Here is a 23,811-nt window from a genome sequence, read left to right as displayed (position 1 = left end):
TTGAGTTTTATTTTTATTATTTATTTATTTTGAGATAGAGTCTTGCTCTGTCACCCAGGCTGGAATGCAGTGGCGCCATCTCAGCTCACTGCAACCTCTGCCTCCCATATTCAAGTGATTCTCCTGCTTCAGCCTCCTGAGTAGCTGGGATTACAGGGGCATACCACCACGCTCAGCTAATTTTTGTATTTTTAGTAGAGATGGGGGTTTCACCATGTTGGTCAGGCTGGTCTCGAACTCCTGACCTTGTGATCTGCCCGCCTCGGCCTCCCAAAGTGCTGGGATTACAGGTGTGAGCCACCGCGCCTGGCCTGGGTTCGGTCTTATAAGTATAGGGTAATGAAGTGTGATCTGATTAGATCTTGCAATGAGGTGATGCCGGGAGGCATGATCTAACTGGATCCTGCCATGGGGTGATGCCAGAGCTCAATCTGATTGGATCCTGGATTCTGCCAGGCAGCGTGGCTTCTTAATTTAGTCCCTGTTCCTTTGTCTGAGCATTTAGGTTCCCCCTGGGGTTGCAAAGCTTGGTTCCTTTGAGCGTGCTCAGGTTACCTGACCTTTAACCTGGGCGTCCATGGCAACCAATAAACAACTCACAACTTTATTACATGATAATTGAACCAGATTGCTCTGATGTGGTTACAAAATTTCAACCTGAGATTTGGAGGAGAACAGTATCCCAACTATATCATGTCCATAGACTACATATGTTATAACATAATTGGGACATGAATAGTTTTACACAGATTTCGGTAATTAGGGGGTAGATTAAATAATACGGTAATAAACACATACTTAAAATCCAGAAGAAAAAATATGTTAACATCAATAGGTGTGATGAAGTGAAAGAGGAAAGGACGCAGTATAGTCTGGTGAATAACAATCGGAAATCAGACAGGATAAGAGGATGTCCTGCTCTTACTGGTTCAGTGATGGCTGAACATGCAAAGAAAACATTTTTAGGTCAAATCCTGGGTTCTCAGAATGAACAGTGTAATTTGTACCTTGGGAAGATTCCAGTTTATGAAGGTCCTTTTAATCGATCAAAATTCTTTTCTTTCTGCTTAGGAGCTTATGATTGAAATAGAATGCAGATTCTGTATCAGCTGAAGATTAGTAATCTTTCAGAGCTAATTAGAGAACATTGCAAGGTTTTGTCCTTTGATTTAATACTATTATGGTGTAGGGGTTCTTAATATAGGTTCTCTGACTTATAAACAAATGAAACAAACTGGTTGTAAAATCGGGAAAGAATCTGGAATAGGACAGGGCCATTTGTACATTCCCTACCGTAATTTTCCTTGGCACATGTGCAGACTCACAATCATTGCCATTTGTTATGATTCTTCTATTCTAATGTGTGTGTGTGTGTGTGTGTTTTGAGATGCAAAAAGAGCTAAAAAGGAAACCTAAGATTTGCTTTTCCCTGCCTAGTTCTGCTCCCTCATCTCTTTTGGCCTCTCCTTGTCCTTGTTTCTCCAGAGAGGAGTGCCTGGCCTGGGTGCAGGCTGGAAAGTCTTGGGAGGGTACTCTGAGGAGCTGGATGCTAGCTAGACTTTTGTTGGAGCCTTTCAAATATGTTGACATAATATAAGTACAGAGATAGGGAAATGCAAGCAGAGGTTGGGTGAACTGCCCTAGATGACAGATGGATGAGTGCACTGTCCCTATGAAAGGGGATGCCAGGGGACCCTCCTCCTCACCAACCCCTGAAGCAAGTGCTTTCTAAGGCTGACTTGGGTAGGGAAGAGGGCGGTGGTTGTGTTGGCTGTAATTTGCTTTAAAATATATTAGCACAGGCTATGAAATGACATATATGTGCATGCTCACTGGTTTCAATCCACATGCCAGAGACAGCAGCATATACCCTCATCCCAATAACAAATGCACACTCCAGGAGCGGTAGAGCACCTGTAATTAAATGCCTACACTTTTAGCCGGGGGGTGGTGGTGGTGTGTGCCTGTAATCCCAACTACTCAGGAGGCTGAGGCAGGAAAATCACTTGAACCCTGGAGGCAGAGGTTGCAGTGACCCAAGATCCCGCCGCTGCACTCCAGCCTGGGCGACAGAGCAGACCCTATTTCAAAAAAAGCAAAAATGCCTGCACTCCAGCTGTCTTTCTCTCCAATCAACGGCAAGGATTTTGTTAATTATCCCAAGGGATGTTAGAAGAGTAATTTTATTGGTGAAATTCATTGCATTCAAGAAGGTAGGTTGGCTAAAATTGGTTTGTAGGCCGGGCTTGGTGGCTCACGCCTGCAATCCCAGCACTTTGGGAGGCCGAGGTGGGTGGATCACCTGAGGTCAGGAGTTTGAGATCAGCCTGGCCAACGTGTAATCTCTACTAAAAATACAAAAATGAGCTGGGTGTGGTGGCAGGCTCCTGTAATCCCAGCTACTTGGGAGGCTGAGGCAGGAGAATCACTTGAACCTAGGAGGTGGAGGTTGTAGTGAGCTGAGATCCCACCACTGTACTCCATCCTGGGCAACAGAGCAAGACTCTGTCTCAGAAACAAACAAACAAACAAACAAAACAAAACAGGCCAGGTACAGTGGGTCACGCCTGTAATCCCAGCACTTTGGGAGGCAGAGGTGGGTGGATCATGAGGTCAGGAGTTCAAGACCAGCCTGACCAAGATGGTGAAACCCCGTCTCTACTAAAAATACAAAAATCAGCCAGGCATGGTGGTGGGCACCTGTAATTCCAGCTACTCGGGAGGCTGAGGGAGAGAATTGCTTGAACTCGGGAGGCAGAGTTTGCAGTGAGCCGAGATCATGCCACTGCCCTCCAGCCTGGGTGACAGAGCGAGACTCCGTCTCATTTAAACAAACAAACAAACAAACAAACAAAACAAAACAAAAACCCAAAACATTGGTTGGTAGCAAGGCGTTTGTCCCTCCCCCTCCTAGAATGGCATTTGAGGCTTGACCTAAATGGGCCCATGTCCAGCTTCTGACTCAAAGCATTCTGGTTGCCTGGTGCCAACTATGAAGTTACTTCTAGGATATAGTCACATTTTTACTTTGAGTAAACATTTAATGCAAGTTGTGGTCAAAGACTTGAGACTTCAGGAGCTTACAGAACAGGATATAGGGTTATCTTGGGCTCTCTTTCTAATAAATGAGTTTTAATTTTTTTAAATTTTTATGGGTACATAGTAGGTGTATATATTTATGGGGTACATTTTTTTGGGACAGGGACTTGCTCTGTCACCCTGGCTAGAATACAGTGGCATGAACATGTATCACTGAAGCCTTGACTTCCTATGCTCAAGTGACCCTCTGGCCTCAGTCTCCTGAGTAGCTGGGACTACAGGTACATGCCACCATGCCCAGCTAATTAAAATTTTTTTTTTTTTTTTAAGAGAAAGGGTCTTGCCATGTTGCCCAGGCTGGCCTCAAACTCTTGGGCTCACATAATCCTCCTGCCTCGACTTCCCAAAGTGCTGGGATTACAGGTGTGAGCCACTGTTCCTGGTCTCTAATAAATGTTTAATACATGCTTGAGTGTGCTGCAAAATTTAAGAGACTTGCTTCCATTTTAACAAATTAACTCTTTTGAGTACACGGTGGTGATGAAAGGCATATCTACACCCTCGCTTATTTCAAACCACTAGTAGCTACCGACATTTAGCAAAAAGAATCTAGTGGTTACACATAACCAAACTAACTAATATTTGTTTGCAATAGAGATTCAATGTGGAGAGGTCATTATTTCTGAGTTGCTATCATCCTTTCCTGGGGTGCTTGCCTCTCACTGTGCTTGGAAGAATGCTGGGGAAGGTCCTTCAGTCTGCAGGATACAAAAGCAATTTCAGAATTGCAGACAGAGGTGAGATATGTCACAGTTATACCCAGGGCCAGGGTTAGAATAACCCAGAGGTGATTATAACAGTTGCTATTTAGAAGACATGCCCAGGACAAGCCTGAGGTAGGTGTATGACTTAGGTTACTTCACTTAAGCCTTATAATATCTTAGAGAGACATAGGTATCCCTGTGAAGAAACTGAAATTGTAAGAGATTAAGGAACTTGCCTGTGGTTGCAAAGCTAGGAGCTAGGGAAAGATTTCTGAATCCATATCTGCCTCCTTCGAAGCGCATGTTATTTGGATGATGGCTCTAATCTTTATTGAAAGTAATGCTAAGGAAAAAAATAGATGCCACTCTCCTTCCATTAATAAGACTGAAACCAACTTAAACTGTTCATTAATGGAAAGAGCATTGGGGGCTGAGATTCAGAAAAGCCTGGGAGCAAATCCTGGTTCTGCCATGTAGCAGGTATGTGATATTGGCAAGTTTCTAAACTTTTCTGTGGGCTGAGTTTTCTCATCTGTAAAATGGGACTAATTTTAATTTTCTTTTAGATTTATTGTGAGAAATAAGTGAGATACCTGTTGAAAGTACAAGCACAGAGCTTAGTATATAGTAGTCCTCCAACAGTGTTCTTTTCCCTTGGAGGAAACTCCTCCTACCATGATATAAAGCCAGGAACCAGCATTTATTTATTTATTTTGAGACAGTCTCGTTCTGTTGCCCAGGCTGGAGAGCAATGGTGTGATCTCAGCTCACTGCAACCTCCACCTCCTGAGTTCAAGCAATTCTCATGCCTCAGCCTCTCGAGTAGCTGGGATTACAGGCGCCTGCCACCATGCCCGGCTAATTTTTGTATTTTCAGTAGAGACAGAGTTTCACTGTGTTGGCCAGGCTGGTCTCAAATTCATGACCTCAGGTGATCCGCCCCATTCGGCCTTCTAAAGTGCTGGGTTTACAGGCATGAGCAACTGCACCGGGCCTACAATTTTTTTTGAATCCCAGGAATTTCTCACAGTGCTAGTCTGTTGAACATATTCAATGGCTGTTTCTTGACTTTGCAAATCCCTTGAAACTTGTTAGCTTATTTCTGGGCTTCTTGTGACTGATTTTGAGTGTGCTTTGCGCCCATTGGGTGGAAGGCACTGTGGCAAAAGGTGTGAGCACACACAGAGGGCTCCTTCATTGCCTGTTACCTTACAACTGAGCTGTCAGAAGTGGGAGAGAAGCTGCAGCCTGGGCCAATGATCTGTCCTTCACAGCATTCATGTTATAAGAGGAAATACAAAATCATGCTTCAGACAAGGAATCGAGCTAGAAATGTGAGCCAAAAGTCAACGAGGAAAATGTGATAGCAGTTTTCAAAAGGAAATCAATAATATCAAAAGCATACATTTTAAAAATTATTTTAAAGATTAAAAAACTAAATCAATGAAAAACCAAAAAACAACTACATTTAGTAGGTATCTGGACACTAACAGAAGCTTGTAGGTAACATAAGTGACAATTCTATTAAGAACTAAAGAGTATTATGAGCCGGGTGTGGTGGCTCACGCCTGTAATCTCAGCACTTTGGAAGGTCGAGGCAGGAGATCACCTGAGGTCAGGAGTTTTGAGACCAGCCTGGCCAACATGGTGAAACCCCATCTCTACTAAAAATACAAAAATTAGCTGGGTGTGGTGGTGCATGCCTGTGGTCCCAGCTACTTGGGAGGCTGAGGGGGGAGAATCACTTGAACCCGGGAGGCAGAGGTTGCAGTGAGCTGACATGGTGCCACTGTACTACAGCCTGGGCAACAGAGCAACAGAGTCTCAAGAAAATAAAAATAAAATAAAATAAAAAGAGTATTAATTATGAAGGAAAACCAGAAATGCCTTACCGTTGCTTTTTTATATTGGGTCTAACATTTCAGAATATTCAGTTTTTCTTCCCCATTTCTCTCTCCTTTTCCTTCTTCCTCCTCTGCGTGTATGAAGGGAAGGGCAAGGGGCTGGTGATTGCTGTCTGGAACGGCTGACATGGGCAGGCTGGGCTGCTAGGACAGAGACCTAGGAGCCAGGTCCTGGATCTAGGAAAAGAAGTCCCGGCCCAGCACCACCTCTCACCCCCAAGTGGAAGTAATCGTCACATGGATAGGCTTTGTGTGTGCAGTTTCCTTCACCTGTACAACAAGGGATTTTTGGTACTTCTCGCCAAACCAATGATGAGTTCGGCCAGTCACCTGCCAGCTGAGTTCAGATTAACTACAAGCAAATGCTGGCAGTGAAGTGTTGAATGAGTGGTGTGCTTTCATCTCTGAATGCTTGCCATCCCACGGCAGGACATGCGGTGTGCTCATCTTTCTGTGACCTTTCTCAGACTGCCAGTCAGCACGTGAGGGGGACCACATCAGGGAGATGTCACTGCGCTTTGGGTGCTCTCAGAGGAGAGAGGTGTCCTAGAGGTTGGGTCTATTTCTCAAGGTTTTGCCAAGGTCTAAGGGCCTAGTATCTTTTCTTGGGGCCAGAGAGTATGTTTAGTGGGGTATTTGTATCCTGGATAGGAGAGCAAAAGTATCTTTGAAGGTCATTTTCTCTTTATTTTATTTATTTATTTTTTGAGATGGAGTCTCACTCTGTTGCCTGGGCTGGAGTGCAGTGGCGTGATCTCGGCTCACTGCAAGCTCCGCCTCCCAGGTTTAAGCGATTCTCCCGCTTCAGCCTCCCTAGTAGCTGGGACTACAGACGTGCGCCACCATGCCCAGCTAATTTTTGTATTTTTGTAGAGACGAGGTATCACTATGTTGGCCAGGCTTGTCTCGAACTCCTGACTTCATGATCTGCCTGCTGTCCTCCCAAAGTGCTGGAATTACAGGCGTGAGTCACCATACCCCGCCTTGAGGGTCCTTTTCTCTTATCTCTCCTTTTTTTTTTTTTGGTTTGGTAGAGATGGGGTCTCACTATGTTGCCCAGGCTGGTCTCAAACTCCTGGCCTCAAGTGATCCTCCTGTCTCAGCCTCCCAAAGTGCTGGGGTTGCAGGTGTGAGCCACTGTCCCTGGCTTCTCTTTTTTCCATCTTTCAACTACAACAAAATATTTATTTTATTTTATTTTTATTTTTTTGAGATGGAGTCTTGCTCCATCGCCCAGGCCGGAGTGCAGTGGCGCAAACTCGGCTCACTGCAAGCTCCGCCTTCCGGGTTCACGCCATTCTCCTGTCTCAGCCTCCCGTGTAGCTGGGACTACAGGCGTCTACCACCATGCACGGCTAATTTTTGTATTTTTAGTAGAGACAGGGTTTCACTGTGTTAGCCAGGATGGTCTTGATCTCCTGACCTCGTGATCTGCCTGCCTTGGCCTCCCAAAGTGCTGGGATTACAGGCGTGAGCCACCGTGCCTGGCTAACAAAATATTTTCAACACCCTACCAGTCCTGTTCCCTGTCTTCTACTGCTAAAGAATAATTTCCAAAAAGTTAAAAGCATGATTCTCATTGTAAATATAAAATGAACATGGATCAAAGATTTTATTCGACTCATTCATTAATGAGGGAATCAGTAAGACGTTAAGATTAGTTCAAAGGAGAATTCAAAGAACAGATATATAGGTATAGACATGGATATTAGTGAGGAATGCCCAGTAAATTTGCTAGTGGATGCAAAACTAATTAATATTCTATAGGATGTCTTTATGGACCAAAGTTTATTTGCATTGCTTTGGACAAGAGTCATGTGCATTATGATCTGTTTTCCACAAATTACCTTTTAAACTATTCAGCGTGGGGCGGGTGCGGTGGCTCAAGCCTGTAATCCCAGCGCTTTGGGAGGCCAAAGTGGGCAGATCACCTGAGGTCAGGAGTTCAAGACCAGCCTGGTCAACATGGCGAAACCCCATCTCTACTAAAAATACAAAAATTAGCCGGGCATGGTGGCATATGCCTGTAATCCCAGCTACTCAGGAGGCTGAGACAGGAGAATCACTTGAACCCGGGAGGTGGAGGTTGCAGTGAGCTGAGATCGCGCCACTGCACTCCAGCCTGGGCGACAAGAGCGAGACTCCATCTCACAAAAAATAAATAAAAAAAAAATAAAGTATTCAGCGTTTTCTGTATATTCATAGTATATTAAGAAACATCGCTGGGTGCAGTGGCTCACACCTGTAATCCCAGAACTTTGGGAGGCGGAGGCAGGTGGATCACCTGAGGTTAGGAGTTTGAGACCATTCTCACCAACATGGCAAAACTCCATCTCTACTAAAAATACAAAAAAATTAGCCGGGCGTGGTGCAGTGCGCCTGTAGTCTCAGCTACTCAGGAGGCTGAGGCACGAGAACCTGGGAGGTGGAGGTTGCAGTGAGCAGAGATCATGCCACCACACTCCAGCCTGGGCAACAGAACGAGACTCCATCGCAATTAAAAAAAAAAAAGAAAAGAAACATCACCACGTTGTCTAAAACATTTTAATCACTCCAATATATAACACACTAAATCATAAATCCCAGGGGAATGTATGCATATTCATAAATTTTGCTGAATCTTACTTTATATTTTATTCGAGACAGGGTCTTGCTCTGTCACCAGGCTGAAGTGCAATGGTGCCATTATAGGTCTCTGCAGCCTTGACCTCCTAGGTTCAAATGATCCTCCCACCTCAGCCTTTGAGCAGCTGGGACCAGAGGCACGCGTGCACCACCACACGTGGCTAATTTTTACATTTTTTGTAGAGACGGTGTCTCACCGCGTTGCCGAGGCTGGTCCTGAACTCCTGGCCTCAAGCTATCCTCCTGTCTCTGCCTTCCAAAGTGCTGGGAATATAGGTGTGAGCCACCATGCCTGGCCTAACCTAGTATTTCATCCTCCTTAGTCTAACACTTTAGAATCCATTCCCATACACAGTTCTCAGCTTCTCTGCAACACATATTGGCAAGATTTTCCAGCTTTCGTGGTATATAATCTATTTCCATCCTCCTCTTCTCTGGCTGACCTTGCATTTCTCCTTCTGGGCTCTGTAGAGAGTTTATTCTTGTTATGCTCCTGGAGTCAATGAGGTGCATCAGGGGCAAGTTTGGAGGAGAACAGGCATCCATGTGGGAGGCAGAGGCCCCAGTGAAGTCTTGAAAGCTCTTAGTGTATGTGAAGGCTAATTTCCTTGCACAGGGGAGGCGGGGCTGCTTCTGTATACAAGGGAGCCTTGAGATTTGGGAATTCGGCTTTGTCTGTGTCTGTCCAAATGTTCCTATCACAAGTCTATGGTCCTACTCCTTCCCAATCAGTGTCCTAATCTTAGCAAGAGAACTTGCTGAGGTTGAGCACTTAACCTTTGCCACAATTCTGTAATCTGTACAATTATATTTAGTATCTGAAGATGAACTTATTCTGTCCTGTGCCTATCCCAGATAAATGGTTCTTTGGATTTCAGCATATCTGTACCTTAAAATAAGAATTTAATACTTCATGTTTATCTCTTCCATTGTTTAAAAACTCTCCAGGGCAGTCAGAAACATCCATTTCACTCTACAATCTTTATAATTATTACTGTTGCCATAGCAATCAAGAGCAACAGCAGCAAAAGCCCCCAAAGCTTTGTGGTCCATATGCCCCTCACACTATTCCCAGTGCTAACTGGAGTAATCCTGCTGCCCCTCCATGCCACGGGTTACTAGCATCCCTTTTGTTCGCTATGCACGCACGAATCTGTGGGTAACCCAGCCAGAATCCCACAATTGAGGAACTGTGTTTCCTGGGGTCACTCTGCTATCAGCCAGGGTCTTGGTAGGAAATGCAGTCCATCTCCGAAAGGTTGAAGAGATTTGCTGCTCAACAGCTGTGGGCAGGATTACAGAGGCAACTGGATTAATTTGCTAGGACAGCTGTAACAAAGTACGAGAAGGGAGGTAGCTTAAACAACAGAAATGTATTATCTCCCAGTTCTGGGAGCTAGACATCTGAGATCAAGGTTGTCGGCAGGGAAGGATCTATTTCAGGCCCCTCTCCCGGCTTCTGGCAGTTCTTTGGCTTGTAGCAGCACAACTCTAATCTTCTCATGGTGTTCTCCCTGTGGATTTGTCTTCCCAAATTTCCTCTTTTTATAAGGACACCAGTCATTATGGATTAGGGGCCACCCTAATAACCTGATCTTAACTAATTACATCTGTAATCATCCTTTTTTCAGATAAGGTCACATTCTGAGTTGCTGGGAGTTAGGACCTCAACATATGAATTTGGGGAGACATAAGTCAACCTGTAACACCATCAAGGGTGATGAGAACGTAGAGATGAGCAACAGCGGGAAGTGGGTAGGGCTCTGCCGGATTTTCTCCACCCGCTCCTCCAGATCCCCTCTTCACCCTCCTCCACCTTGTTGTGTGTCTGGGAGGCTGACTGCCGCAGACTGCAGCCTGTGACCCCTTGCCTCCTATTGGCTTCTGTTTGACTTGGGTAATGGCACAGGCAGGAGCTTCGGAGGTGGGAGAGAGATAATAGAAACACAGTACCTCATAGTACCCTCCCATGCCTTCCCAATGACTTTCATATCCCTCTCCGTGCTTCTTTCATATTTAATATTTGGCAGATCAGAGCTGAATAATGTTTAAAACATGGGTGAGCGTGTGTGAACCCTTTCAGAAGTTTTTGAACATTTAATAATAATGGCTGATGTTCACTGAGTACTTACTTTGTGTTCTAAGTACTTACTACAGTATGCTCTTGATAGTTCCTACAAGGGAGGCACTACGATTATCCTAATTTTATAGTTGAGTAAACTGAGGCTCATTGAGATTGGTATCTTGCCCAAGGTCAAGATCACACAGCTAATTAGCAGCAGTTGCAGGATTCCATTTGGGGCTGTCAGCCACCAGAGGCTGCTCTAAACCACAAGGTCATCTGTGCTCATCCATTTACCAGACATGACCTCCCCTACTTGACCTCCTGTCAAACTCATATTCAAGTACTGATCTAGCAACAGCTGTTCTGTGGGACTTTCTCAATTCCCTCCCCCCAAGAACTGACCACGCGGTCTGCGCATTGCTCTCTGCTCACTGCCCCCCTGCGTGGGCTCCTGTTAGGAAGCCTACGGCTCTTTTCTGCCTCATTTTCCTACCTGTGAGTTCTCCAGGGCAGACAAGTCTCCCAGTTCATCTCTGCGATTCCCGGGCCTGGCAGTGTGTCTGCGCGGGAGGTGCCAGTGAATGTCTCTGGAAGGAATGTTTTCTTACCGTCCCCGACTGTTCTATATGCCCTGGTGCACCCTAATGGTCCCGATTACCATTGACTTCCTTCCTCAGTTTCATTCAGAGGCTGTTAGTGGCTGCCAGTCCTGGACCATGCTCTCCCGGCCTCTGGGTGGGCGTTCCTGTCCCCCGCCCACACGGTTCTTGTCCGCCAGGTCTGGTCAGGGTTTCTGAGCTGTTCCCTTCTGGAGGCGCTTCCCTGAGTTCCCAGGCGTCCTGGGGGGTCGGGATTGACTTTACTTCCACTTTTCAGTTCTGTCCTAGTTATCAGTCACGTTTTGTCAGGGATTCCTTTGTTAAAACCCCAGGGATGTTTTCATGGGGTTGTTCTTTTCTTCTTTTGCTAGGTAGGGTGTTAAATGTAACTGCCTCCCTGTGGAGATCCTTGGAGGTCCTCCAGCCTGCTCCAGGCCAGCCACCTTGTCTCTGCTTCCACAACATCCTTGAGGAAATACGCATTTAAAACCCGACCTCTACATTCCCTGTAGTTTCTCTTCACATCGCCTACTCCATATTTTCCAGCTTTTCAATTTCTCTCAGAACAAAGGTTTTATTTCTGGGCAGGGCACTGACGGCGGTGACACTAATATCGGTACCTCCGGGCCACTTGAGGGACGTCCAGACCTGAGTCTGGTCTGATGCTTTCTTTAGGATCCCAAACATCGCTGCCGCCTCCGCAGCGCCGTCGGATCCCTGGGGAGAGCATCCAAAATGTGAACCAAGTATTAAAAACATTGGAATATAACTGTTTTTAATTCTTATGCTGTTTTTTGGTTATTTGTAATTTTTGTTGTTGTTGCTATTTTAAACCCAGCGCACTTAGGTTTTCTGGCGTGCATTCTGCCCCCCGCCCCCTCGGTGCGGAAAAATGCCCTCGGTGGGGCAACCTGCAGCTGCGAGAAGAAGGCTTTTTCCCTGTCCCTCCTCCACGTCTCAGGTCGAGGTCAGGGACGGCAGCTCTCCCGAGTTCCCCCTGAGAGCGCGGAGAGGCGGGAGGGAGGGAGCCTGGCGCAGGATTGGACTTCCTCCCTCCACTCCGGAACTGCGCGCCGGAGCGCCTTGGACGCGGAAACCCGGGAGGCGCCGCGGGAGCCGCGGGGTAGGGGCGGTCGGGGGCGGGGCCGGCGGCTGGAGAGGGGCCAGGGGCGGGTGCGGGGCGGGGCCAGGGGCGGGTGCGGGGCGGGGCCACGTGAGGGCCGCGCTGGGTGCGCGGGGCTAGCTGCGCCTGCTGCGCTCCGCGGGCTCTCAGAGCGCTGGGCACCGGCCGGGCTGTGGTCCCCGCGCGCCGCCGTCGCCTCTCGAGCGGGCTCGGCTCACAGCGACCGGCGGCCGGGGAGATGTGAGCTGGGGCCGGCGGGCGCGGCCGGACCGCCGCGATGTGGCTCAAGCCCGAGGAGGTGCTGCTGAAGAACGCGCTGAAGCTCTGGGTGACCCAGAAGAGCAGCTGCTACTTCATCCTGCAGCGGCGCCGCGGGCACGGCGAGGGGGGCGGCCGCCTCACCGGTAAGGGGCTCGCCGGGGCGGGCGCGGCGGCCGGGCCCGGGGCCTCGCACCCCGCCGGGCCCGCGGCCCCCAGTCCCGGGCTGCGTCGCCAGAGGCGATTTCTTGGGAGACGCGGGGCCCGGACGGCCCTGCCGCGGGCTTGTTTTCCTTTTTTCTGCGTTTCTCCCGCGGGCTCCCGTCGAGGTGGTGGTAGAGGGGGCTCCCGGGCGCGTGCGTTTTCCGGGCGAGGCAGGTGTCTTCGCCGCCTGGCCCGGTGAGCTGGAGGCCGGACTCGACTTGGGAATCGAAGGAGAAACGCCGGGTGGAGCGGGGCCGGAGGGCTCGGGGCCGCCCTGGAGCAGCGAGGCTGCTGTGTGGGGCCAGGTGACAGCGGGGTGCGCCGAGCCAGCCCGGACTCGGCCATCTGGAGGCGCCGGAGGCTCCAGGTGGTGTCGTGGCTGGGGGCGCGCGGCGATGCGCGCGGGGCGCAGCTCTTGGAGGCCGCGGTGAGCGGGAACTGTCTCCACGCCCGGAGGGGAAACTGAGGGTGGGCGAATCCCAAGCTCGTGATCTCAGTAGAGAAATTGAACAGATCAGTTTTTTCCTCTCTTTCAGTGTCTTACAAGGAATGATAGGAAAAAAAACCCAGGCTCGTAAAGTTGATGATAAAACAAAGCATTTTTTTTCTAAAAGTTTTGTTCCAAAGCTCTTTGAAATTGACGCCAACTTGCAGTAGCTAGGACACCTGTTTAAAGGTCAGTGAAGGAACAATTAGACTTTTTCATTTGTATCTAGGGGGCCTATATTTTTCTTTCCAATTTTGGAATCGGAATAAAAGAGAGCTTAGATCTCCTGTCTTGTTCCTGTTCTACTGAGGAGAAGACAGAGGCCAGAGAGAGGTCAAAGGACCTAGGTTAGGTCCCCGGGTTAGTGGTTGGCGGCTCTTTCTGCTCTCAGACCAGTCTAGGGAAGGCCTTTTTGAGGTTGAGTCTGGTAGGAGATGTACTAACACGCCTGGAAACCGCAGAACCAAGTGCAAAGGAACTGGATTTTGCTGGACTTTAGCTTCTGAGAAAGCTGGCGGTTGGGTTTGTTAGAGGAGTGCAGACTTACACTGAGACCGGGTGAGTGGGTGGGAGTTGGCAGGTTGCTGCATGGAGGGAGCTGTAGGCAGCTGAGGGTTCCCCATGGAAGGGGCAGAGTGTAGTTAGGATTCTGGACGGAGGCGGTGCTTTGGTAACCAGTGGTCCTGTTGAGTGGCAACAAGGACTCAACTTGGGCAACTTGGGCAGCACGTGGGCCTGCTCCAGGAGCTGTTTTGAGCTTTGGGGGAGGGAGTTGTGCAGGAGGCAGGGGCCACAGTGGCCTTGTTGGGCCCCGTGACGCACCCTGGTGCTTAGTGCCCAGGCTCTCAGGAAATGGAGGTGGGTGGTGCCCTGGGAAGAGGCGAAGAGGCAGGAATTTGTCGTCCCTCCCTTTCTTTGAGGGCAGTGTATCTTTATTTATGGTGCATTTAGCAGGGTTCCTGGTCTATAAATGTTTCATTTAGTAGAGAGTGAGGACAAGGCCTGAAGATTTGTGAAGTGAGAAACATAAGGACAGTTTGTCCCGTAAACGCTCATTCATTCACTGAGTTCCGTGCACATATGTAGGATACTCTGCTCGCTGCTCTGGAAAGAGGCCCGAGAGCAGGCGGTGAGGGCCGGCTACCTTCAGCCGATTCACCATCTAGTTAGTGGGTGAGATGGTTCCAGACACGGAGGGCAGAGCTGGCCATAGGATGCCTGGCTTCAAGCCCGCTTCCTGTCCAGAGGGTTTCTGACTCTGTTGTCCAGAGTCTCTGTGATGAACTCAGTGAATTCCCTCCCTGTTTCATTCCAAAATCAAGCAGGTCCCATATTATTATTATACCTGTGGCTCTGGCATTCCTTGATATTTACTTCGGTTTGGACTTACTGTGAATGTGCAGAATTTTCTTATGCTTAAATGCAACAAGATCGACCATAAAGAGGGAAAAGTCTACAAAAAGAGGACACTTGATGTATTTCTTGGAGACCCTGTTGATTTTGAAAAGGATGACATGTGCAGCCAGACACTTTACCTTTGAGCATTTAGCTGGGAAGCCAATGCCGATGAAGCAGCGCTGACCTGCCACGTGTGCTGTGGGGGGCTGGTCTTCATGGGACCACTTAGGATTGTGGTAAAGTCAAGACCCATGGGACACAGGGCAGCTCTGTGGTGGTGGCGGTTTTTGGAAAATGTGCAATTCTAATGTGGCAGATTGTTAGCAATTTAAGAGTTTAAAACCTAGATTGAGTTTATGAAAAGAATGAGGGCTACAGTGATACACATTCTGGCAGGTTGTAGACTTTTGTTTGGAGGGAAGCAAGCAGTGGTGGCCTAAGGGGGATTGGAAGTAAAATGTAAGAGAGCAGTAATCAATAAACATCTCTTTTCCTTTATTGTGATGCTGAATTTGTATTAGTAGGAGTTTAGACAGAGGAGATCTGGTGGTTGAAGTAATCTTAATTGCCTAACTTCAGAAATACTATCAGCTTTTGTTTCCTTGAGGATTAAAATCGGCCCTCCTGCTTACATACATGCATATACATGCTCTCTCTCTCTTTTTCTCTCCCTCTCTTCACATCTCCAGGTTTATTTCTCTCCATAGTTCCTTCTCACTTTCTCTTACAATATACCAATTTATTTTTTTCATTGCTAAATTGCCTGTTCTATGAGGGCAGGTATTTACCTGTGATAGTACCCAGCATATTTGTTCAGGAAACATTTGTAGGATGAATGGATGGGTGACTGTATGCATGGATGATGGATCCCACTTTTTTCTTAAAAGTTGGGTGGGAGTAGAGGCCCAGCATTTCGGACTGATTGCCTGGAACAGGAACAACCCCTGTCTCTTCTCAGCTTCCTGTTTACCTGGCAGTCTGACCATTATGGAAAGCTGGAGGGGTGTGGGTGGGAAACACAATTGTTTCCTCCAGTCTTTTTTTGTAGCTCCCTCTTTTGAGGGGGATGGATCATCACACTAACTTCTCTGGTGGCCAGAAAGGGCGGGCACAGATGTGGCTGCCATTGTTAGCTCCTGGGCTCTGAGCACTACTAGGGAGGTGCCCATCTTTTCCTCAGGTTAGAGCATAGCATGGCAGAATTCAGGATTATGAGATGTTTCCAAACTTCTGCTTGCGGAAGTGATATTGCTACTCTGGAAAGGAAATAAAGTTATACAGTGTTCACTTTGATACAGTCTCCAACCTCTTGTAACAAGTTCAGCCAGCTCTGGGAGAACAAAGAGCCCGGAGATGTTAGCATGTGGGAAAGAGACTGTGCAGAGAAAGAACACACAACATTGCTGCCCTCTCTCCCAGGGTCTCTGAAGCACTTCAAGTGAGTGGGATAATAAGGAACTTAAATAGCTCAAGAGCAAAAAAATCTAATAACTGGATTGAAAAATGAGCAAAAGACATTAATAGGCATTTTTCAGAAGAAGACATACAGATGGCTAACAGGTACATCAAACATGCCCAGCATCACTAATCATCAGGGAAAGGCACATCAAAACCACAAGGAAATACCGCACTCCAGTTAGAATGGCTATTACTTGTTTATTTAATTAATGTTTTTCTTAGAATGGCTATTATTGAAAAGACAAAGGAAAAACGTGTTGGTGAGGATATGCAGAAAAGGGAACACTCACACTTGGTAGGATTGTAAGTTAATATTGCCACTATGGAGGACAGTATGGAGGGTCTTCAAAAAACTGAAAATGTAGCTGCTGCATGATCCTGCCGTCCCGCTACTGGGTATATATTCGAAGGAAATGAAATCAGTATGTTGAAGAGATACCTGCGTTCCTGTATTTATTGCATCACTATTTACAATAGCCAAGATACGGAATCGACCTAAGTGTCCAACAAGAGATAAATAAGGAAAATGTGAGATATATACAACAGAACACTATTCAACTATACGAAAGAATGAAATCCTATCATTTGCGACAACATGGTCTTGAACTCTTGACCTCAAGCCATCCTCCTGCCTCGGCCTCGGCCTCGGCCTCTCAAAGCACTGGGATTACAGGTGTGAGCCACCGTGCCTGGCGCATTTGCAACAACATGGATGAACCTGGAAGAGGACATCGTGTTAAGTGAAATAAGCCAGGCACAGAAAGACAAATACTGCATGATCCCACTTATATGTGTAATCTTAAAAAGTTGGTATTATAAAAGCAGAGAGTAGAACAGTGGTTACCAGGATGGGAGAAGATGGATAGGGAGAGGTTGGTCAACAGGTACAGAGTTACAGTTAGATAGGAGAAGTAAGTTCTGCTGTTTTCTTGCACAGTAGGGTGACTGTGGTGGTACCGTGTATTACAGAATAGCTATGAGAATGAGAAGCCTTTGAATGTTCTCACCACAAAGAAATGATAATTGCATGAGGTAATGGATATGCTAACTACCCGAATTGGATAATTATGTAACATATATGAGTATTGAAACATCAAATTGTATCCCATAAATATGTACAATTACAGTGTGATAATTAAAAAATAGTGAGTGGAATAAACATTACTCTAAATAACAAATATCACCACCCAGCTGTGTCCTCTGAAGGATTTGATTTTTCAGGGTTTTATTGCGTGTATTCCTGTATAATCTTGCAATTCTTCTCTTAAATTGGCTGACAATTTAAAAGTTGTAATTTGAATTGATGTTTTCTGCTTTGCAACATGGTTACCTTAAGTCCCTGTTCCTGTCATTGCATTTGTAGTAGTGATGGGCTGATTACCTAAACAGTTAGGGTGAAGGGAGGAAGTATGGTATAGTGAAAAATAGTGTAAAATACAACCTTTGGAGTCAAGGTAAGTAAGTCTGTTCATTAAGAATCTGGACTGAGAGGCTTTGAGTTAGTTTATCCAGTTTCTTTGAGCCTTAGTTATAACTCAGCCTTAAGAAAGGGACAATAATGAATCTTACTTCGGAGGGTTAGAGACTGTTTTCTACAGCAGCGGTACCATTTTTCATTCCCATCAGCAATGCATAATGGTTATGATTAAAATAAGGCTTAGAATTAATAAACAGTATACATCAAGGGCTTAATTGTGCTTGGCACCTGGTAGGTTTGACAGAAGAAAAGCAAAGTACAATTTAAAAAAACTGAATAATGGCTTCTGAGAATAAAGGTGTAAAAACATTTGCATTGTAGTGAAGGACATAAGAAACATTCACTTATCTATTAGTGCAGTATTTAATATGTGTAATTAAAAGATGAAATATTTAAACAACAGCTTGGGTTAAGAATTGCTCAGGAGAAAGGTGTTTTTATAGGATTTGGGCACACGGCTCCTCTCACCACATTAAATCGTAGTGAGTAAAGGGAGCTTCACCTTGTTTCAAATGTTGAGTGTGAGTGCTCATGCTGTGCCTCCAGTGAATCACCTACTGCCTTTGGAAGAGTGTCCTAATGACTGGGGGAGGTGAAACTGACAGGCTAAGGATTCATGTGGGGTTACAAGGCTTGCTCAGAAGGACTCTTATCAGAAGGTTGGAAACTGATGAAGTCCAGCATGGATGTTGCATTTCTTGGCTAGTCTGTCTGAGGTTGGCTGGAGTCCTGCTCATATAGCTGAGTTTGTTGGTGAATTTTGTCTCCTCCAACAGTGAAAGTCTTTGACTTAACAGGGCAGCCTGTTGCATTCTATAGAAGTCCCAGATGTTGGCTCCAGAGTCTTACATGCTTTGGTATTTTTTCTTAAAAGCATAATAGGGAAGAAACCACAAGTAAAGGAAGTAGTTTGATTTTAGGATCATACATCTGAAAAATTAAGTTAAATAACTGATATATCTTTAGGGGCTGATAATCTATTAATAAAAGCCTTGAGGTTTCCAAGAGTTGCATTTAGTGAGAGCATAATAAGGGCAATGTATTTGTAATGAGATAATCAAACAAGGCACGGACTGTGTCACTCCAGGAGATAATATAAGGTACAAATTGTGCAGGTGGTGGGATACTGGAGGGTGGCCTTTTCCACCTAATTGGAACTCCTTAGGAAGAGCTGACAATTATTGAGAGGCTGGTAGCTTGTAAAGAATTCATTTACTAGAAGTGAAGGCAGAAGGATTTTATGATCTTGACTCCACATTTTAGGTGGCACTGGATAAAGGAGGAATTTATTTATTTTTATTTTTATTTTTGGAGACAGAGTCTCGCTCTGTTGCCCAGGCTGGAGTGCAGTGGCGTGATCTTGGCTCACTGCAACCTCCACCTCCTGGGTTCAAGCGATTCTTCTGCCTCAGCCTCCTGAGTAGCTGGGACTACAGGCACGCACCACCACACCCGGCTAATTTTTTGTATTTTAGTAGAGACAGGGTTTCACCATTGTTGCCCAGGCTTGTCTCGAACTCCTGAGCTCAGGCAATCTGCCCGCCTAGGCCTTCCAAAGTGCTAGGATTACAGGCGTGAGCCACCGCGCCCGGCCAAGAGGAATTTATTTAAAATGAAAGTAAATCTGGTAATTCTTTCAGCATGGATTTTTTCCCCCTATTTTAAAAACTTACATCAATGGTATTAAAAAGCAGCCGTGAGCCTATTTTAATCACTGTTGGGGGTTGCAGGCGCTGCCCCTGAACCACCTCTTGGGTTGCCTCTCTTCCCCCTTCTGCTCTTAAGCACAGACCCTGCAGCATGTTGGCACTTTTCTCTCCCAGGCCCCTCATGGCTGTCTCCTCCCCCACCCCCAAGCATCTGGCTAATTCTTGTGAACCTTTGGGGCTCCGCCTGAGCTCCACTTCCTGGAGATGTACCTGACCCTTCCCCTACTCCCACCACTGTAGTCATGAAGAGGCTCTTTGAGGGTTTGTCTGTTTAGGGTGAACCAGATCCTGAGCTCCAGGAGGGAGGTCATAGGTCTGTGCCCCTCTCTCCTGTGCCTTTAGTGCTGATGGTTCTTGTCACCAGAGCACTCTTGATAAATATTTGTGAAATACATGGATGTAGACATCAAGTAGTACAATCTTGAGGGGATCAAGTACAAACTTCATGTAGATGTCATGTAGGAGATATCAAGTTGTACATATCAAGTAAAATGGATAGATGTGAGCCTGTGCAGTTGAGAAGTGTTTTGTGTGTATCATCCTGCAAATGGAAATTATGTAGAATGCAGGAATAAATAATAGAGTGGTGTTCTTAACTGTCTTATACCAGCACTGTGTGCTGTAAGGACTAGCAGTAGTTTGTGGCTGAACCAGCCCAGCTGTTAGGACTACCTGTTGATGCCGGGCAAGGGGGCTCACGCCTGTAGTCCTAGCACTTTGGGAGCCAAGGTGGGTGGATTGCTTGAGCCCAGGAGTTTAAAACCAGCCTGGGCAACATAGCAAAATCCTGACTCTACAAAAAAATACAGAAAATTAGCCGAGCATGGTGGCGTGTGCCTGTAGTCCTAGCTACTTGGGAGGCTGAGGTGAAAGAATCACCTGAGCCCTGGAGGTTGAGGCTGCAGTGAACTGTGATCGTACCACTGCACTCCCGCCTGGACATTGGAGTGAGACCCTCTCAAGGGGTAGGGGCGGCGGGGGAAGAACTACCTATTGGTAACCTTGATGTAAATGATTCCATACAGAACCAGACTTATTCCTCTAGTGTATCACCAGCCAACAAGCACATGTGTATGAATTTGAGTCATCCATATTCTTTAACATTTGGTGAGTCTTTCATTCTACTGGATTTTATTATTTTCCTGCTTCCTGCTTTTTACTTTAAAAAAAAGGAAAGGTGTCTGTGCGTGGTGGCTCATGTCTGTAATCCCAGCACTTTCGGAGGCCGAGGTGGGCAGATCACGAGGTCAGCAGTTCGAGACCAGCCTGGCCATCATGGTGAAACCCCATCTCTACTAAAAATACAAAACTAAGCTGGGTGTGGTGGCGGGCACCTGTAATCCCAGCCACTTGGGAGGCTGAGGCAGGGGAACCGTTTGAACCCGGGAGGCGGAGGTTGCAGTGAGCCGAGATCTCGCCATTGCACTCCACTCTGGGTGACAGGGTGAGACTCTGTCTCAAGAAAAAAAAAAAAAAGGAAAGGAAAGAAAAATCAACAATAAAATAAACAGTGCCTTAGTAAGATATCCTTATGAAAAGGTACTGCATTTTATGGTTTGTTTCTTAGTTAGGAACTTTTCGGTGTGCATAAGAGTATTTAAGGTAAGTTGTAGGTAATGGAGCAAACACTATATATCTACCACCTGTAAGTAAAAAAATAAGAGTATATCCTATGCCTGAGAGACCCCTTCTGTGTTTTCCTGATTACATTTCCCTCCCTTCCTTGCAGGCACCACTACCCTGGATTATGTGTTAATACTGACTTGCTTTTCTTTATAGTTTTAACACATTTATATGTATTCGTAATCAATACATAGTTCAGTTTTGTGTGTTTTTGTAACTTTATTACAAAATATACTTTTATTCATGCTTTATGTATTTTTCTGTCACTTGATCACCCCACCCCCTGCATTATGTTTTTCTCACTTTGACCCATGGTAGCTGCCGTGGTTCATTCATTTTCATGGATGTGTAGTAATCCATTGAGTGAATGTATTATTATTTATTCATTCTCCTGTCCTTGGATATTTGGGTTGTAGTTGTTTTAGTAGATAAAGCTGCTGTGAACATTTTCCTGTAGTGTTCACACAGGTATACATTTCTCTAGAGAATATTTCTATGAGTGACCTTGTTGGGTGTATCCATCAGGATGAGTTAGGTTATGCTGCAGTAACAAACACCCCGACACATAAATTTATTTCTCTGTCATGCTGTATATTCAATGTGGGTCAGCAAGGATCTCTTCTGACGGAGAACTGGGACTTTTGTGAACAGCCCTAATACTGGGTCATAGCTATGTGTATTTTCAACCTTTCTAGATAATTCCAAATTGTTTCCAAGCAGAGCATGGTGGTGCATGCCTATAATCCCATCTACTTGGGAGGCTGAGGCAAGTGGATTGCTTGAACCTAGGAGTTTAAGTCCAGCCTGGGCAACATAGTGAGACCACTGTCTCTAAGAAAAAACTTCCCACAGTGGTACATCCTTGCTAATGCTTGATATTGTCAGAGATGTTACTTTTTGCCAATCTGGTAGGTATTTACATAGTATCTTAGAACCACTAAGATACTATTTCTCATTGTTACTAATAGGGATGAGAATATTTTTATGTGTTCATTAAGTATTTGTTTTTCCTTCTGAGAAATACTTGAGTCTTTTGCTCATTTTTTTTGTTGGCTTACCTTTTTTTTAGTTTTTTTTATGAGCCTTGTGTATGTGTGTGTGTGTGTGTGTGTGCGCGCCTTCATGTGTGGTTTTTCTGTATTCTTTTTCAATTGTATGTATTTTTTTTTAAAGTCAGGCTTTTTATTTTCATTGTAGGTTTTTTGAACTCACATTGTTAATTTTCATGCAGTCAGATGTATCAGTCTTTTCCCTTTTGTTTTAATTAATTAATTTACCTAGATCTTTTCTGGCAAGATCTTTTTCCTTCAGAGTTTATTCTTTTTGTTACTTGTTTAAGAAGAGCTGCTTGGAGGGGAATCTCTAAGATGATGGTGAAGGGAAATCCTGAGATGTCAGTGAGAACCTCTCTTCTTCCCTCCCCCAACCCAGCGTTCAGTCTAGATTGGAGCCTGGCAGGAGGCTGCAGGACAACTTCTAGGAGAAGAGAAAGTGATAGACTGTAAAGTGTGTTTGCACATATTGAATGAAGATCTGCACATCAGGGGAGAATTTGTGGTTAGATTATCCATAGATGGAAAGCTGAGTAAGTCAGAAATTCTGGGATAGTTGTTAACTCCAGGGAAAATAAAAAGTTGTATAGTGTGGAAAAAGTACTGTAGTTTTGCTGCAAAACTCAGCTCTTGTTAATGTTTTTGTAGTTATAATAATGTAAATATTGACTCACGATCTAACTGAAATTATTGCATAACTGGGGTGTGAGTGTTGGGTCTCGGGTGGTAGTCAGTGAAAGGGAGCTAAAGCCTCCACTTCTGAAAGTTGACAGCTAATGCCTACACTAAATATCCAAGAAGTAGGCTGGGCACGGTGGCTCACGCCTGTAATCCTAGCACTTCGGGAGGCTGAGGTGGGTGGATCACCTGAGGTCGGAGGTTTGAGACCAGCCTGGCCAACGTGGTGAAACCCCGTCTTTACTAAAAATACAAAAATTAGCCAGGCATGGTGGCGCATCCCTGTAATCCCAGCTACTCTGGAGGCTGAGACAGGAGAATGGCTTGAACCCGGAGACGGAGGTTGCAGTGAGCTGAGATTGTGCCATTGCACTCCAGCCTGAGCGACAAGAGTGAAACTCTGTCTCAAAAAAAAAAAAAAAAAAAGTAGTAATATAGATGTGTTATTTGGAGATGCGAAGGTGGATACAAAAATAATCCATTAAGAGTTGGAAGAGGTTGCCTTTGGGGAGTTGGTAAGTGGGAGCAGCAAGGAATAAGGGGACTGTTTGTGTTTCTCATGAGCCTTGCAGAATTATATGCTGATTGACACGTACCTGTAACGTTGATATAATGCAGACAGAATCTAAACTCAGGGAGAGCTTGGCATTTTTTCTGGTGGGCAGCTCTGTTTGGGTAGTGGCGATCAGGAAGTCATTGAAGCTGTGTCCCCTCATTGCCCAGGGGCCGTGATTTTCCCCGGACGCCTGTGTGTCAGCTATTTGTCCTCTCAGTGTGCTATATTTAGCCTTCAAAATGTCTAGCATGCGTGGGGTGTGTCATTTTACAGAAGCTTTTAAAACTGTTTTCAGAAATGTTTTAAATTTCAGAAATCTAATTTAGTCAGGTACTTTTATTTGAAATTAAAGATATCTATTCTGGATTTTATTCCCTCTCTCAGTAGAGGAAATAGGTTTAGAGTTGCAAGCTCATGATCTTTGTCTTCTTTCTCAACTTTAAAGAGGGGTTCTGTGACCATAACCCACTCTTTGTAGGGTCTCAGTTTATTAACCTGTAAAACAGTAGCAACGATTGCATAAAAATAATGAAAGTTTTTGCTGTGGGGGAGGTTTTATGCTTCAAACTGTTATGTTTTCTAAATATGTTGGTTAAATCAATGAAATTACTTGTAGATAAAGCAGCAGAAAGAAACCCAAAGAGCATTTTATTCAGCAGTGCCAGGCCCTGTGCTGTCATGCAGCTTATAGTCTGGAGAGGTGGAGTTTGTAGTCGTGATTGTGGGGTGATACTAAGCCACGAAACACTGAGTTATCAATGGTGGTGAGTGCCAGGGGATGCGAGAGAGAAT

General features: G+C 45.7%; 1 protein-coding gene and 1 long non-coding RNA gene across 4 annotated transcripts in view, besides 4 other annotated features; one reads left to right on the top strand and one right to left on the bottom strand.

The window, feature by feature from the left end:
- Positions 243 to 760: an enhancer, noted in NCBI's record as "OCT4-NANOG hESC enhancer chr2:101779352-101779869 (GRCh37/hg19 assembly coordinates)". NCBI's record gives its function as "activates a minimal SCP1, AML or CMV promoter by ChIP-STARR-seq in naive H9 embryonic stem cells {active_cell/tissue: H9 hESC(naive)}" and the evidence as "EXISTENCE:reporter gene assay evidence [ECO:0000049][PMID:30033119]".
- Positions 3,503 to 4,702: an enhancer, noted in NCBI's record as "MED14-independent group 3 enhancer chr2:101775410-101776609 (GRCh37/hg19 assembly coordinates)". NCBI's record gives its function as "activates an origin of replication core promoter dependent on BRD2, BRD4, P300/CBP and CDK7 cofactors, and independent of MED14, by STARR-seq in HCT116 cells {active_cell/tissue: HCT116}" and the evidence as "EXISTENCE:reporter gene assay evidence [ECO:0000049][PMID:35650434]".
- Positions 8,238 to 11,990, bottom strand: TBC1D8-AS1 (TBC1D8 antisense RNA 1). Its single transcript, NR_135594.1, has 2 exons — positions 10,891 to 11,990; positions 8,238 to 9,615 (listed from the first exon to the last, which is right to left on the bottom strand). It is a non-coding gene; the product is annotated as a TBC1D8 antisense RNA 1 (long non-coding RNA).
- Positions 11,064 to 11,564: an enhancer, noted in NCBI's record as "NANOG-H3K4me1 hESC enhancer chr2:101768548-101769048 (GRCh37/hg19 assembly coordinates)". NCBI's record gives its function as "activates a minimal SCP1, AML or CMV promoter by ChIP-STARR-seq in primed H9 embryonic stem cells {active_cell/tissue: H9 hESC(primed)}" and the evidence as "EXISTENCE:reporter gene assay evidence [ECO:0000049][PMID:30033119]".
- Positions 12,152 to 12,501: a silencer, noted in NCBI's record as "silent region_11820". NCBI's record gives its function as "represses an Ori minimal core promoter by ATAC-STARR-seq in GM12878 lymphoblastoid cells {active_cell/tissue: GM12878}" and the evidence as "EXISTENCE:reporter gene assay evidence [ECO:0000049][PMID:35858748]".
- The window catches only part of TBC1D8 (TBC1 domain family member 8), a 144,155-nt gene continuing 132,611 nt past the window's right edge, over positions 12,268 to 23,811 (top strand). For all 3 annotated transcript variants that reach the window (NR_138475.2, NM_001102426.3, NM_001330348.2), the window contains exon 1: positions 12,268 to 12,523. Coding sequence is in view for 2 of the 3 variants with exons in the window: in NM_001102426.3 (NP_001095896.1) it covers positions 12,397 to 12,523 (127 nt within the window). In the remaining variant the exon portion in view is untranslated. The remainder of the gene's footprint in view (positions 12,524 to 23,811) is intronic.

Source organism: Homo sapiens, chromosome 2, assembly GCF_000001405.40.
Source record: "Homo sapiens chromosome 2, GRCh38.p14 Primary Assembly".
In the NCBI taxonomy this organism is placed as follows: Eukaryota; Metazoa; Chordata; class Mammalia; order Primates; family Hominidae; genus Homo; species Homo sapiens.
Note: the sequence above shows the minus strand (reverse complement) of the source record. Positions and strands in the feature narration are given on the sequence as shown.